The sequence below is a fragment of the Homo sapiens genome, chromosome 2, assembly GCF_000001405.40.
Source record: "Homo sapiens chromosome 2, GRCh38.p14 Primary Assembly".
Classification (NCBI taxonomy): domain Eukaryota; kingdom Metazoa; phylum Chordata; class Mammalia; order Primates; family Hominidae; genus Homo; species Homo sapiens.
Genome location: NC_000002.12, coordinates 43,073,134 through 43,086,323, shown reverse-complemented (window position 1 = coordinate 43,086,323; position 13,190 = coordinate 43,073,134). Strand labels below are relative to the sequence as shown.

Genomic DNA, 13,190 nt, shown 5'->3' with positions numbered 1-13,190 from the left:
CTGAGGCAGGAGAATCACTTGAACCTGGGAGGAGGAGGTTGCAGTGAGCCGAGATTGCACCACTGTATTCCCGACAGAGCAAGATTCCGATTCAAAAAAAAAAAAAAGAAAAAAGATTAAGGCCAGCACAAGTAACTCCTAGAGAGGCCAGCTGAGTTGAGGCCCAGGTATAGTGAAGGGTAGAAAGCTGGTGGGTGGTGGCTCTTGCCCTCCCCAGCGTTAGGCCAAGGAGAACGCAGAGCCTGTGGTGTGTGCACGTGTGTGGTGGGGTGGGGGCAGGGGGCGTGAAACAGACTCAGTGCTGGCCTTTTATCCTGATGGACCCACACTCATGCTTCCTCTCACTGTGGTCACTGCCCTCGGGCTGAGGGAGAGGGTGACATGGGTGTCACTTGCTGAGGCGGCAGCAGGAGACGTATCCTCAGGTTTGGGGCAGGCAGGGGAGCACATTAGCACGTGGACCACATAGATACGTGGATGCAGACAAACAATGACGAATGTTTGCTAGAGTGTCTGCTATGCTCCTGGCACCCGGGTGGGTGTTGGGAATAATACCGCAGGTACAAGACAGACTCTATGGTTGCCATCACAGGAAGGCCTGGCAGAGATGGCCTGGAAGGTGTCCACTGGGATAAGGGAGGGAGAACAGATTCAGGCAGTGGGGGCTGGTAGGCGCCAGGCTCCAGTGGACAGAGATGGGAGCAGGCGAGTGTAGACCGCCGTCGTAGATCCCGGGAAGGAGTGGTACCCAGAGAGTATGAAGGAAGGGCAGAGCCCAGGAAGGAACTTGCAGGGGGTGTGGAGTGGCTGAAGATCTGGAAGGGGAAGGTGACGGACAGATTAAGTCCTGGGGTCCTGAGACAGGGCTCCCTCTCCAAGTCATGAAAAGCCCAGAGGTAGGCTCAAGAGGAGGAGGAGGAGGAGGAGGGGAAGGGGCAGGGGCCACAGGCAGCCACCCCTAATCCAGTGTCACCCTTTCCTTTGCGCTCCTGGGGCAGAGGGAAGGAAACCCTCCCTAAGGGTTAGACCCTCATTAGGCTCTAATGAGAGCCTAAGTCTGGCACTTTAGAGGTGACAAAGCACTTTTGCTTCCCGTGTAGGCAGAATTCTAAATATGGCCCCCAATATTTCCATCCGAACCCCTGAACATGATAAGACATCAAGCCCATGATCATGTGAAATTATATGGCAAAGGGATTTCAAAGACATCATTAAGGATAGAAATCAGTTGACTCTGAGTCCAAGAAAAGAAAGATGAGTTGGTAGGGGCCTAATCGAATCACACGAGCCCTTTAGAAGCAGAGGGTTTTCTCTGGCTGGGGGCAGGAGAGGAAGTCACAGATGTGAAGTGTGAGGGAGGGTTCGATACATCTTTGATGACTTGAAGAAGGAGGGGACCATGTGGAAAGGACTCGAGAGAGAGCAGCTTCGAGGAGCTGATAGAGATCCCTGGCTGACCGCCACCTCAGTCCTGCAACTGCAGGAGTGGAATTCCGCCACAACCCGAATGAGCTTGCAAGGAGATGCTTTCCCAGAGCTTCTGGAAAAGAGCTTCTGATAGGAGCCAGCCAGCTCACACTTTGATTTTCAGCTTGTGAGACCCTAAGCAGAGACTATAGCTGAGCCCACCTGGACTTCTGACCTGAAGTGTGAAATAAGAAATGGGTAGTGTTTAAGCTGCTTTGTAATAATTTGTGATGCAGCAATAGAAAACGAATATACTCCACTTTCTCATTTAACCCTGAGAAGGTCTTTGGGAAGCATCTGACGACTCCCTCTGCAGATGGGACAGGCTAAGTGAGGCCCTCGGTTTGCAGGTGCCCAGCTGCGGCTCAGGGCTGAGCCTAGCTGATTTTTTGGTATCACAAACGCTTTTCCCACCTGAACGGCCACAAAGGAACCACAGGCACTCAGCCTTGGCCAGGAGCACCAGAGGTGGGGGACCTGCATCTCACACTCCCCTTTCTAAGATGCACCTCAGCAGATGCAATCCTGCTGGAGCCTGCAGGGTACAAAGCCATCCCAGCCCCGCCACCTCCCTGGAGAAGAGCAGAGCTCTTGGCAGAAACCAGAGAAGGGCAGTGACCTCAGCCTCCCCCTTCCTCTCAGATGACAAGTCTGGGCTCTGTTAAGGCAAGAGACAGGAACTGAGATCCAAGGAGCCATGAGGTTCGGCTTCCCCTCCCCAACATCCAGTAAAAAGCATTCTCTGACTTGTCGGGATGGGGATTTTTTGAATTTTATACTCGTTTTCTGAATCATTTGTTGGGCACAGTTGGGCATCTCCTAGGAGTCCAGAAATGTTTGCAGGGAGGGAGGTTTTGTTCCTGCTTTATTGATTAAAAAGCCCTAATGAAGGTTTTCTCATTCCTGCAGAGGCCTTTTCTAAAAACCTCCTTAATTCTTCCCAGATGGCGTCCAGTTCTCCCTCCCCAGCAGGGTGGGGCTTCAGAAAGTAGGAGGGCTTTGTGTCTGGCCGACTGGGGATCTCAGCTCTGTCACTTAGTCCCTGAGGGGTGCGTGGGGGCAGGCAACCTCCCCAAGCCTCAGTTTCTTCAGGAGTTTCTAAGATGCAATGAGCCAACAGATATGCACAAGGTCCCTGGCAGGCAAGAAGGAAGCACTCACTATTGCTTCCTTACCCACGTGCCTGAGCACAACACAAGAACTACCTTGGAAATATTTTTTCGACAAAAGAAAACAATTTTGATTCTCATGACAGGCAGGCCTGGTTGGCCAGCAGCAAGAGTCTTCTGTCAGCAAAGTTTGCCTTTGTGCTTCACCTTGCCGAAGCTACTTCCTCCATCTGTGGCGCATTTCCTTCTTTCCAGCCCTCCCTGGCCAGATCCCAGGCCCTGGGAGCGGGGACACACTTGAAACCTCGGCAAGAGTCTTCGAGTTCAGTATTGCAAAGGGAGGTCAGGGTTGAATGGTGGAATCCAAGGCCCTGGAGCAGATGGGCCAGTGTGGGAATATTTTCGGGCAGGGGAGGAGGATGTTGCCAAGGTCCCTCAAGGTGTCTGTCGGGTGGGGACCAAAAGCAGTGGTTGTGCAAGCCTCTCTCCTGCTTGGGTTTATCCTGACTGTCTATTTGCAGGTTTGGAGGTTTGAGCTGAATCCTCTTAGAAGTAGCTTTTGCTGTCCTTGACATTTGAGAAAAATCTGCTTGACTTCAGCAGGTCCTGGGGGCAGAGTTTGGGAATGTGGGAGTGGTCATGTGTTTGTCGGGGTGAAGGGTGAGAGGACCTTCAGGCTCTGGGCCCCAGAATCGTTGGCCCCATGACAAGAAGATTGGAGGGTTGGTGAGGCTGTTTTCCCTGCTGTTCCCCATGGCTTCTGGGGTGTTCTGGGATGGATGGTATTTGAGGGCCAGTGCAAGTCCCTGGGATTTGGGAGTAAAGCTAGTTCCTCTTAGGGAAACCTTCCAGGGCAGAGGCTGAAGGAGGTACTGGGGGATGAGGGGGGTGTCTATGAACTGGGGCCCTATGCTCGGACTGGGATTTTGAGGCCAGGGCCCAGTACTGCCCTCAGCTGCCTCCACCCTCCTCCCCTGAGCTGTGGGCTTAGAGCTGAGCCAAGCATAAAACAGACAACCTCTCTCTGCTTCTATGTCCCCACCCCCATCCTGACGAAGTCTGGTTTTCATCACTCATTAATCACTGCAGCTTCCCACAGCCTGTGTCTGTCTGTCCACACTCACCAGCCCCCTGGGCCCTGGGGGGATGGATAGACAGACAGGCAGATGGTCTTTAACTTGGGGAAATTTCGGGTCACACTGTGGGCTGCTCCCTCCCCCAGGGCAGGGGAGAGGCATGCTTCCTGGGTTGTTAGAGGTCACCGCTACCCCCAGCCTGGCCTGAAGCTGCCAGCCCGACCCACCTCACCCTGGCAGCAGGCAACTGGGGCCATTAGCTGTCCTGTTCACCAGGAAGGAAATGGGTTGGAGGGCTGAGGAATTCTAATGAAGCTTCCCCAGCTGGCAGGCCGGCTGGCGGGTGAGAGCTGGCACCTCCACCCCTGCTAGAGTCGGTGCCAGCCCTGTCCGGCCTGGCCCGCTTGGTGACCACCTGCCGCTGTGGGAACCCCGGCCTTGGGCCGCCTCGCAGAGCCCCTGAAGATTCCCAGGCACTGGGGTTCTCGGCCCCTGCCAGCCCACCCTGCTTCCCTCACATCACCTCTCTGCTCCTGTCCTCCTTCCCCTTCCCCTTGACCTCACCACCTTGACTTCTCTGAAGGAGATGGGGCCTCCAGGGTTGCATTGCCATGCATGACCCCACCCACCAGCCTCTCATTGCACGCCACCCCCTCCAACCACCAACTCTGGACTCCTGAGTACTGATCTGGTTCTTCTCTGACCCACTGTCAAGTTGGAGCTACTCACAGCCTCTCTAGGCCTCAGTTTCCTGGACTCTAAAGTGGGGTGAAAATTGCAGTTCTGCTACATCTCTTAGGGTTACCCTCCTGCTATGACTAATTAGAATGCCATTGATTGAGGGTCTGCTGGGTGTGGAATATGATGTGCAACTGGTGGGAAAGAGTACCAGGTGCCCTAGGTAGGGTGCCAAGGGTCACCCTCACTGTCATCCTCATCCCAGGGCCATAACATCACTGAATTTGATCACAGAATTTGCCTTCTGGGCCCTCCTGGCTTTTGCATACATTTCTCTAGGACCTCCCTGCTGACCTCAGCCTCTCCTGCCTTCCAAGAGGATTTGTCTTTTAAAATAGGAGACTAAAGACAACAGCTCTTGTCCCACAGAAAAAGCATTCTCTAAAACAAGCATGAGGTTCTAATGGCAGGACTCCAGGTGCTGCAGTAGTTGAGTGGGGGACATTCTAGGTGAGGCAGGGGGGTGTGGCGGGGGTGTGGTGGGGGTGTGTGTTTCAATTAGGTGGCTGCCAGCTTACCTTACCTTGCATGGGGCGGGGAACCCCAAGCACTACACTGGAACTTTCCCCCTCTCAACCCTGGACTTGTCCCCCTCCCCAAATGTCCCTCATGGGAACCGGGTACACAGTGGCCATTGTGGTGTGGGAGAGGAGGCAGGAAGTGGCAGTTGAGAGGGCCACTTTTGGAGTCTAACAGTTTTGGGTTTGAATCCCGGCTCAACCATTTGCAGGTTGGATGACCCTGGCCTCTGTTTCTTCATCCATAAAATAAGGATCGTAAGAGTACTGCCTACCTGGTGGGGCTGTCAAAGATTAAGTGATATAATATGGTTAAAGTGCTTGGTCACGGTGCCTGGCCAGAGAGGGTGCCCCATACATGGTGGCTACAGTGCTAGGAAGCCCTTAGCTCTCCCAGATACCATGGCCTGCCTGCCATGCAGGGCACTGGCTGACGGCTGGTGGGCAGCACGGCCTAGGGCTGGGAGTGGTGGTGAGGAGTGTCAGGCAGCCATGGGCTCCCCAGTGGTGGCCACAGCAGAGAGCTGGAAATGAGACCAAGTGTGATCTTTCCTCCCTGGTCCCACGCTCCGTGCTCCCCCAGAGCTGTGTCCCTGGAACCCAGGAGCCTCCAGCTCTGGCTACACGCCAGCCTTTCCTCATGCAGGCCTCTGTCTTTATAGCCTCCTGTTGGCTCATCTGCCCTGGTGGGTGGGAGCTGCTTCACCGAGGATCAGAAGATGACATGGATCCCCAAATGGTTTCCACTGGCGCCAGAATGCCGCACGGCAGCCAGCTGTCAGCATTGCCATGCGAGATGGCAAGATCCCCAGCAGGGGCAGAGCCCCTCAGAGAGCAAAGCCCGCCAGAACCAGGGTTCTGAAGTCATAGAACTCCTTCCCACAGATCCAGGATGCACATCTGCATATCATTGCACAGTGGTTTGCATACATTTGCATCCAAGTCCACATCCAGTCCCTCCATACTGTTCCTTTTTCCACCTCTAGTAAGAATGAATATTTAACGTACCACTCCAAAGTTATAGTAGCTAAGCCCCCAAACCCAATTCCATCCATTTCAAGTGTGTTTTGAGGGCCTGATGTCTGGAGCAGCCTTTTTTGTTGTTGTTGTTGTTGAGATGGAGTCTCGCTGTGTCACCCAGGCTGGAGTGCAGTGGCACAATCTCAGCTCACTGCAAGCTCCGCCTCCTAGGTTCACGCCATTTCCTGCCTCAGCCTCCTGAGTAGCTGGGACTACAGGCTCCTGCCACCAGGCCCGGCTAATTTTTTGTATTTTTTTTTTTGGTAGAGACGGGGTTTCACCGTGTTGGCCAGGATGGTCTCGATCTCCTGACCTCGTGATCTGCCTGCCTCGGCCCCCAAAGTGCTGGGATTACAGGCGTGAGCCACCATGCCCGGCCAGACCAGCCTTTATCAAAGATGGAGGATGAGGAAACTAGAGTCCTTGCTTTTAGGGTACTCACAGCCTAACTGGGGAAATTCACAGGTGAGATCCAGGAAAATGTATTAGGGTGCATTCCAGGGTGCAGTAGCTATAGATAAATAGGGTGCTGGGGTTGGGGGCAGGAGCTCCAGATGGGCTGGAGGAGCATGGGTGGTAAGCTCCAGGGTCCCTGGCACAGGGCTGCACATGTGCTGGCCACTGTGTTGATGAGGGGTCTATGAGTTTTTAACTCAGCCCCCCATCCCATGGCTCTCTCTGGTGCAGGAACTACATGTGGTCGCCTTGCATTGTACCACAGGCCTGCACTCCACTGCGACAGACTGGACCCAGTGTGGGGCCAAGGACAAAGGCGGCCTTCCGTGAGGTAGTTGGACTTGGGAGCTCTGAGTGGGTGGGAGTGCCTGTCCCACCTAGTCCCATCCATGCACCTTCATGTGATACAGAGGAGGGAACTGAGGCACAGAAGGCTGGGTAACGCACTCAAGCATCCACACAGGAAGAGGAACTGGAAGAGGAACCCAGGCAGCTAGGCTCTTTGGCCAGTGCCTTTGGCCACCACACTCCATAGTTTCCCACCAAAGGACATGCTCGGCTCCAGGGCAGGAGTTAACAGACCATCAGGGGTTGGTGAGGCCGGCTCTGGAGTCCCACTCTCAGGTTTTGGCTGGCTTCTTGATTGCATCCCGTTTGATCAGCTGGGTCTTTTGAATGCTGACTCCATTGATTGTCAGTGGTGTGACTTCAGGGAAGCTGCTCGATTTCTCCACCAAGGTTTCCTCACCTGTGGAGCGAGTGCAGTGAGGGCACCTATTCATGGGAACCTGATTCACATGGCACCGCAGTGAATGTGCAATGCACGTCTGCTGCTGGGTGGGGACCGATGGGGAAGGTCTGACAATGGCTTGTTGAGGGCATGTAAGGAAATGGGCCTGGCTGGAGCAGAGGCCGCCCAGGGGAGGAGAGAGGGACAAGGCTAGGCCTGGGGAAGGGAGCCCCAGTGCCCTCCGTCATTCCAGAGAGGCAGATGTGGTCCATGTGGCCAGAGCTGCCTGTGGCTTGGCAGCTTCTCCTCACTGGCCTCATCTGGTCCCTCATAGAGATGCTGGGACTGCCCCTCCTTAGGAGCTTCAGGGCTGGGAGTGGGTGCTGTGCCCTTAAGAATGCCCTCAGAATGCCACCAGGTGCTCACAGTCAGCCTGCAAGACCCACAGCATGGTGAAATTCTGAGTTGCCGACATGGTGCTTGAAAGCAAGACTTAAGGTTACATTTTGCCTTCCCTGGTTTCCTTTAAAAAAGTCCGGAGATGGATGGGGGCTTGGCCTCTCCACATCATTGGGAAAAGGTCATCAGACTCCACTGCCGAGGCAGGAGGGTCAGGGGCAGTTGGAAGACCAGGGGTATCCAGGGAGGAGGGGCAGGGGTTCTAAATAGAGGCAAAAGAGCAGAGTGAGGAGGGGCTGGGGGATGTGGCCATAACTCTGAGGACCCCATTATAGGAAAACACAGTACTCACAGGCAGACACACACCTGGACATGCGTTCTTGCACCCATGGGCCCACAGACCATCGTCAAGAGGCTCAGAGAGTAGTGAGCCAGCCTGCAGGTTTCCAGAATATTCTCTTACGAGAGTCTCTATCCAGGAGTCTAGTTGGGGATAAAGCAAGGCCCTCTCCTTTACACTTTTTATTTAAGCACATTTGGGCAGATTGAGTTTGCCTGTTAACTAGAGTTAAAAGGGACTTGGGGCTCAGCCTCTTCTTGGTCCTACAGCTGTGGGCAGGGAAGAAGGAATGAGGGGTAGATAGTACACAACTGAGATCTGCTTCCACCTTGGGTTCCAGTCTCGAGGCACCAGCTCTGTGTAGGAAACCCACTGATGGGCAGCCTGACCTGATCTGGCAATGTATGGAGTCTGCTGGAGGTCTAGTCCCTGCCTCATCCTTCCCAACAGCCCCTCCTTAGGTGGGTGCTCAGTGTCTCTGGGGAGAATGCTCTAAGCTTTCTCTTCCACTATTAGCTCCACTCTATTCTTGTTCCCTGGCCCTCCTGCCCCAAACCCTGCAAGTTCCTTTTAGCTATCCTCCTTTCTGCCTTTCTGCATGGATTAGATCCTTTGTGACTTGGTCCCTCCTCATGGTAACTTACATACAATAGCATTAACAAAGCAGAAGTGTACAGCTCGATGGATAGCCACATGTGTGTCTAGACCCATGGAAACACCAGATCAAGATTTGAAACACTTCTAGCTCCAAAGCTGGTTCCCTTGTGCCCCTCTCCAGTCAATACCATCCCTAGTGGTGACTGCTAGTCTGACTTCTGACATCCTAGATTCATTTAACCTGTTCTTGACCTTCATACAAATGGTATCAAACAGTCTGTCTATGTCCAGCTTATTTTACTCAATATAATGCGTGGGAGATTCACCCATGCAGTTGTGTGTAGCAGATGCTTTTTGTTGTTGTGTTCTAATCACTGTGTAGTGTTCCATTATATGAGTATGCCACGATTTGTTTAGCTCCCCTGCTGATGGATATTTGGGTGTTCTAGTTTGAGGTACTATGAATAAAGCATTCATGTGCATACCTAGTCATGCACACATGCATTCATTTCTCTTGGGTGGACAAGTAGGAGTGGAATTCCTGGGAGGCTTGAGGTTTTTTTAACTTAAAAATTTATTTTGAGACAGAGTCTCTCTGCCTCCCAGGCTGGAGTGCAATGGCGTGATCTCAGTTAACTGCAACTTCTGCCTCCAGGGTTCAAACCATTCTCCTGCCTCAGCCTCCTGAGTAGCTGGGACTACAGGCATGCAGCACCATGCCTGGCTAATTTTTGTATTTTTAGTAGAGGCGGGGTTTCACCATGTTGGCCAGGCTGGTCTCAAACTCCTGACCTCAGGTGATCTGCCCACCTTGGCCTCCCAAAGTGCTGGGATTACAGGCGTGAGCTACCACGCCTGGCCAGGAGACTTGGAGTTTTAAGAGGTCAAGTCCGTCCTTCTCACTGGCCAGGCTTTGGGACATAATAGTGTTAATGAAATAGTTGTCCCCACCTCCCAGTGCCCTCCCCGTTCCAGGTGCAGCTTCTTGGGAAGGTCAGGTGCTCTTTCATACTGTTGGCTATAAGGAATGGAAAGACCCATCCTAGAGGGCTCATGCCTTTAAAGAGCCACTTGAGACCGGGCATGGTGGCTCACACCTATAATCCCAGCACTCTGAGAGGCCAAGGCAGGCAGATTGCTTGACTCCAAGAGTTCAAGACCAGTTTGGGCAACATGGTGAAACCCCATCTCTACAAAAAATACAAAAATTAGCAGGGTGTGGTGGCATATGCCTTAGTCCCAGCCACTCAGGAGGCTGAAGTGGGAGGATCGCTTAAGCCCGGAGGTGGAGGCTGCAGTAAGCCATGTTCACACCATTGCACTCAAGCGTGAGTGACAGAGTGAGACCCTGTCTCAAAACAGACAAAGAAAGAAACATAAAGAGCCACTTGAAGAGGCCTGAAATGCTACGGAGGGAGTTGCGGGCTCTTCTTCAAGGCCTGGTAGGAAGGTCAGGAAAGCATGGGGCCTGGGGCAGCAAGGCAGGAAGGATGCAATTGCACAAGGTGCTGGAGGCAACTGAAGCTCCAGGTTAGTGACCTGTCCAAAGCCACATGGCCAGTATGTGGCCAGCAGGGATGTCAACTCAGGTGAGTCTTCCTCTAGCCCAGAGTTCTTCTGACCACACAAAGACTGCCCTCTCTGTGGGGAGGAATGTAGAGATAGTCAGGGCTCAGCATTATGGACCTGCTGGGTGCTCTGCCCTGAGATCAGCCTCCAGGCAGTTCTTTCTTGGGATCTTCACCCCTGCCTGGCCACCAGCCATGCCTCTGGCCCAGTCCCCTCCCAGGGAGACATTTGCAGGCCTTGAATAGCCTGAGTCATGGCTGTGAGCTGGAGGAGAGAGAGAGAGAGACAGAGCCTGGGGGCTGGTATCATCCAAGACCCCATGCCAGGACCTTCCAGTGAGCCAGCCATGGATGAGTGGGGGCAGCACACAGAGAACATTCCTGGAAAACAATTTGCCTTTAGTAACCCTCTCAGGCTTTCTTGGCCATACCAACACATTTGGTCTCAGGTTGGCAAGGCCTGGGATGGCTGTGAGCATCTGGTGAGGCCTTAGTGGGTCAGGGGGAATGCTGCTTTGGCCTCCTGGGAACTGCCAACGGGCATCTCCACTGGAAGGTCCTGGATGGTACCTTCATGATGCAGTTCATGGTGTGAAGACTTCAGGCTGCAGAATTAGCGATTCACTGACTTTATTCCAGAGAGGGAGAGAGCCCAGATATATATGTATGCATGTAAGTGTGTATGTCTGAGTAATAATGTGTGTGTGGGTGCATGCATCTATGACTTAGACATTCATTCATTCATTCAATCATTCTGCAAATATTTACTGTTGCCTATTATGTGCCATGGGAGATTCCACAGTAAATAAAAGAGGCAAGGTCCCTGTCCTCAAAGGTGTTATTAGACCCAGAGCACACATCTCCATGTGATGCGTGTGTACATAAAGGAACATGTGGCTGCCTGTGTGTGTGTCTGAAGAGAGGTCTGAATATCTGAGTTTCTGAGTATGTGTGTGTCTAAACATATGAGTCTGAGCATGTGTGTGTGAAGGGGAGAGAATTACTCATCCACTTAGAAAGGCCTCTCCCAGAGCAGTTATATTTTCATAAATAAAAATAATCAGATAATGAGTTCATTTCCGATCTCAAGTTTGATGCCAACATTCCAGTGAAACAAGACTCGCTGGCGGGCTGGCTGCACTCTGTGTGGCTTGGATTAGCTGGGGAAAGTGCAGAGGCCAGACCTGCCACTTGCAGGCTGTAGGGAGTAGAGGAGGAAGAGAGGGTGGCCTACAACCAAAGGACTGACAGCATGTGTCTGGGGCTGAGTAGCCCCTCACCCTTACACAGGTATCAGCAGACAACACTCAGGAGTAAGTTCGGGCCTTATACCCCCAACAGCCTGTGTAAGGCCTGAACTTCCTCCATTCACTCCTTGGAACCAGTGATGGACAGAGTCTGTGCTGCTTTGTAAATGCAGATGGCCCCAGAAAAGATGGCCCACTGAGCTGCCATGAATCATGGAAGGCTCAGTGAATGACCCTTTCCCTGGGCACCCAGGCCAGAGCTCAGGGATGCCTGCTGGGAGAACAGTAGCAGGGTACAGAGAGAGGTTGTGACTAGATCCCCTAGGGGAGAGGGATAGAGGCCACAGGCAGACTACAGCCCCTGCTTCTGCTTGGATTGACATTCAAGGAGTCAAGTTAATGCCTCAGTTCGGCATTCATGGTCTTGGACAATGGTTTTCCCAAATGGATCTGGGCTCTCCTGGTCCACCTCCCCTCACCCATGCTCCTGCCAGACACAACCATCTTCTACTTGGCCCTCTCTGCCTTTGCTTAGGCTATTCCTTCTTGGAATGCTTTTCCCCAACTCTGCATGCCCAAATGGATCAGGTCTTGAAGATCCAAATGTGGCCCCCTTCATGCAGTCTTCCCTAATTCTGCCAGCTAGGAATGCTTTCTCACATTCAGTGGTGACCGCCTTTTAACAGTGTCCTCCTTTTCCTCCTGGACTCCAAGTTCCAAGAGGGCAGGATCTGTGCCTCCCTCAGCTGATTTTCCTCCACAAGTCCTAGCCAGCCTGAAGATGGGGCTGCTCCTGCAAGCTGGTCAGAAAGGTGAACGGAGCTGGAGTCAGTAGCAACTGTAGGTGGACCTGGGGGGAACCAGTCAAGGTTGTGCCTTGAGATATGCCCCTGCTCTGAATTTGAGACCTAATGCCAGACAGGAGTGCCCTGGAGTTAGATAGGGGCTTGGAAAAGGGCACTAAGGGGAGAGGGATGGGGAAAGGAGAGGGGCTTTTCCTAGGAGGCACGACTTGGACCCCAAAGCGAGACATCTGTGAGATGTCAGGGTACTACACTGGGGGGCTGGGGTGGAGGATTGTGGGGATAATCAATTCAGAGGCACAGGCTGATTTTCTGCAAGTAAGGAAGAGGAGTCCACAGAGGTTGTCTGTCCATCCATCCATCTGTCCATTCTTCCATCTGTCCATTTCACTATGTACTTACCTGTTCATGCATTCAACAAGCAGCATTGAGCCTCTCCTGTATGCCGAAGCCTTGTGGAGCTTTACATACATTATTTCATCTACTCACAACAGCTGCGTGAGGAACGTATCTCAGAGGAGGAGGCTGAGCCTCAGAGAAGTTGAAGGCAACGTTCAGGGTCACAGTCCAATGTCCACGCTGCTTCTCCAAAACCCGAGCTCTTCCCACGCCAGCAAAGAACAAATGGCTTATTTCTCAGCCTCTCCCTGGCTTCAGGCTGAGCTAGATCATGGCCCTTGGGCAATATGATTAAGCCTTTTTCTTGTCTGGGAAGTTCAGCCTGTGTCTCCACCCAGGGGCCCCAGACACAATTTGGCCATCAGCCAGCTGTCTTTATCCTCTAACATCTTTGCTGACAAGACCACTTCTAGGGGCAAGCTCCTAACCCAAGGAGCAAAGCTTCACCAGTGGAATTTTTAACAGAGAGAGAAGCTTTTTTGGGCAGGCACCCTCTTACTTTGCCAAGAGGGAGGATAATCCTGGCAAGAGGGTCCAGCATGACAGAAAGAGCTGCAAGTGTTGTCAAAAATCACCTGGGAGGTTGCTGTAAATGCATATTCTGGGGCCCCATCCCTATACAGTTCAGTTAAATAATCTGGGATGGGCACAGAAGTCTGAATTTTTTTTTTTTTTTTTTTTTTTTTTGAGACGGAGTCTCGCTCTGTCGCCCAGGCTGGAGTG

The 13,190-nt window shown here is 52.7% G+C and overlaps 1 protein-coding gene and 1 long non-coding RNA gene across 2 annotated transcripts in view, besides 3 other annotated features; one reads left to right on the top strand and one right to left on the bottom strand.

Annotated features, from left to right (window-relative positions):
• The window catches only part of LOC107985876 (uncharacterized), a 38,401-nt gene that overhangs the window by 16,122 nt on the left and 9,089 nt on the right, over nucleotides 1-13,190 (top strand). The window lies entirely within an intron of this gene.
• Nucleotides 1,383-2,149: an enhancer, noted in NCBI's record as "H3K27ac-H3K4me1 hESC enhancer chr2:43311313-43312079 (GRCh37/hg19 assembly coordinates)". NCBI's record gives its function as "activates a minimal SCP1, AML or CMV promoter by ChIP-STARR-seq in naive H9 embryonic stem cells {active_cell/tissue: H9 hESC(naive)}" and the evidence as "EXISTENCE:reporter gene assay evidence [ECO:0000049][PMID:30033119]".
• Nucleotides 2,150-2,916: an enhancer, noted in NCBI's record as "H3K27ac-H3K4me1 hESC enhancer chr2:43310546-43311312 (GRCh37/hg19 assembly coordinates)". NCBI's record gives its function as "activates a minimal SCP1, AML or CMV promoter by ChIP-STARR-seq in naive H9 embryonic stem cells {active_cell/tissue: H9 hESC(naive)}" and the evidence as "EXISTENCE:reporter gene assay evidence [ECO:0000049][PMID:30033119]".
• Nucleotides 2,224-12,695, bottom strand: LOC124907756 (uncharacterized). The gene is made up of 2 exons (XR_007086299.1): nucleotides 12,471-12,695; nucleotides 2,224-7,132 (listed from the first exon to the last, which is right to left on the bottom strand). It is a non-coding gene; the product is annotated as an uncharacterized LOC124907756 (long non-coding RNA).
• Nucleotides 5,159-5,861: an enhancer, noted in NCBI's record as "H3K4me1 hESC enhancer chr2:43307601-43308303 (GRCh37/hg19 assembly coordinates)". NCBI's record gives its function as "activates a minimal SCP1, AML or CMV promoter by ChIP-STARR-seq in primed H9 embryonic stem cells {active_cell/tissue: H9 hESC(primed)}" and the evidence as "EXISTENCE:reporter gene assay evidence [ECO:0000049][PMID:30033119]".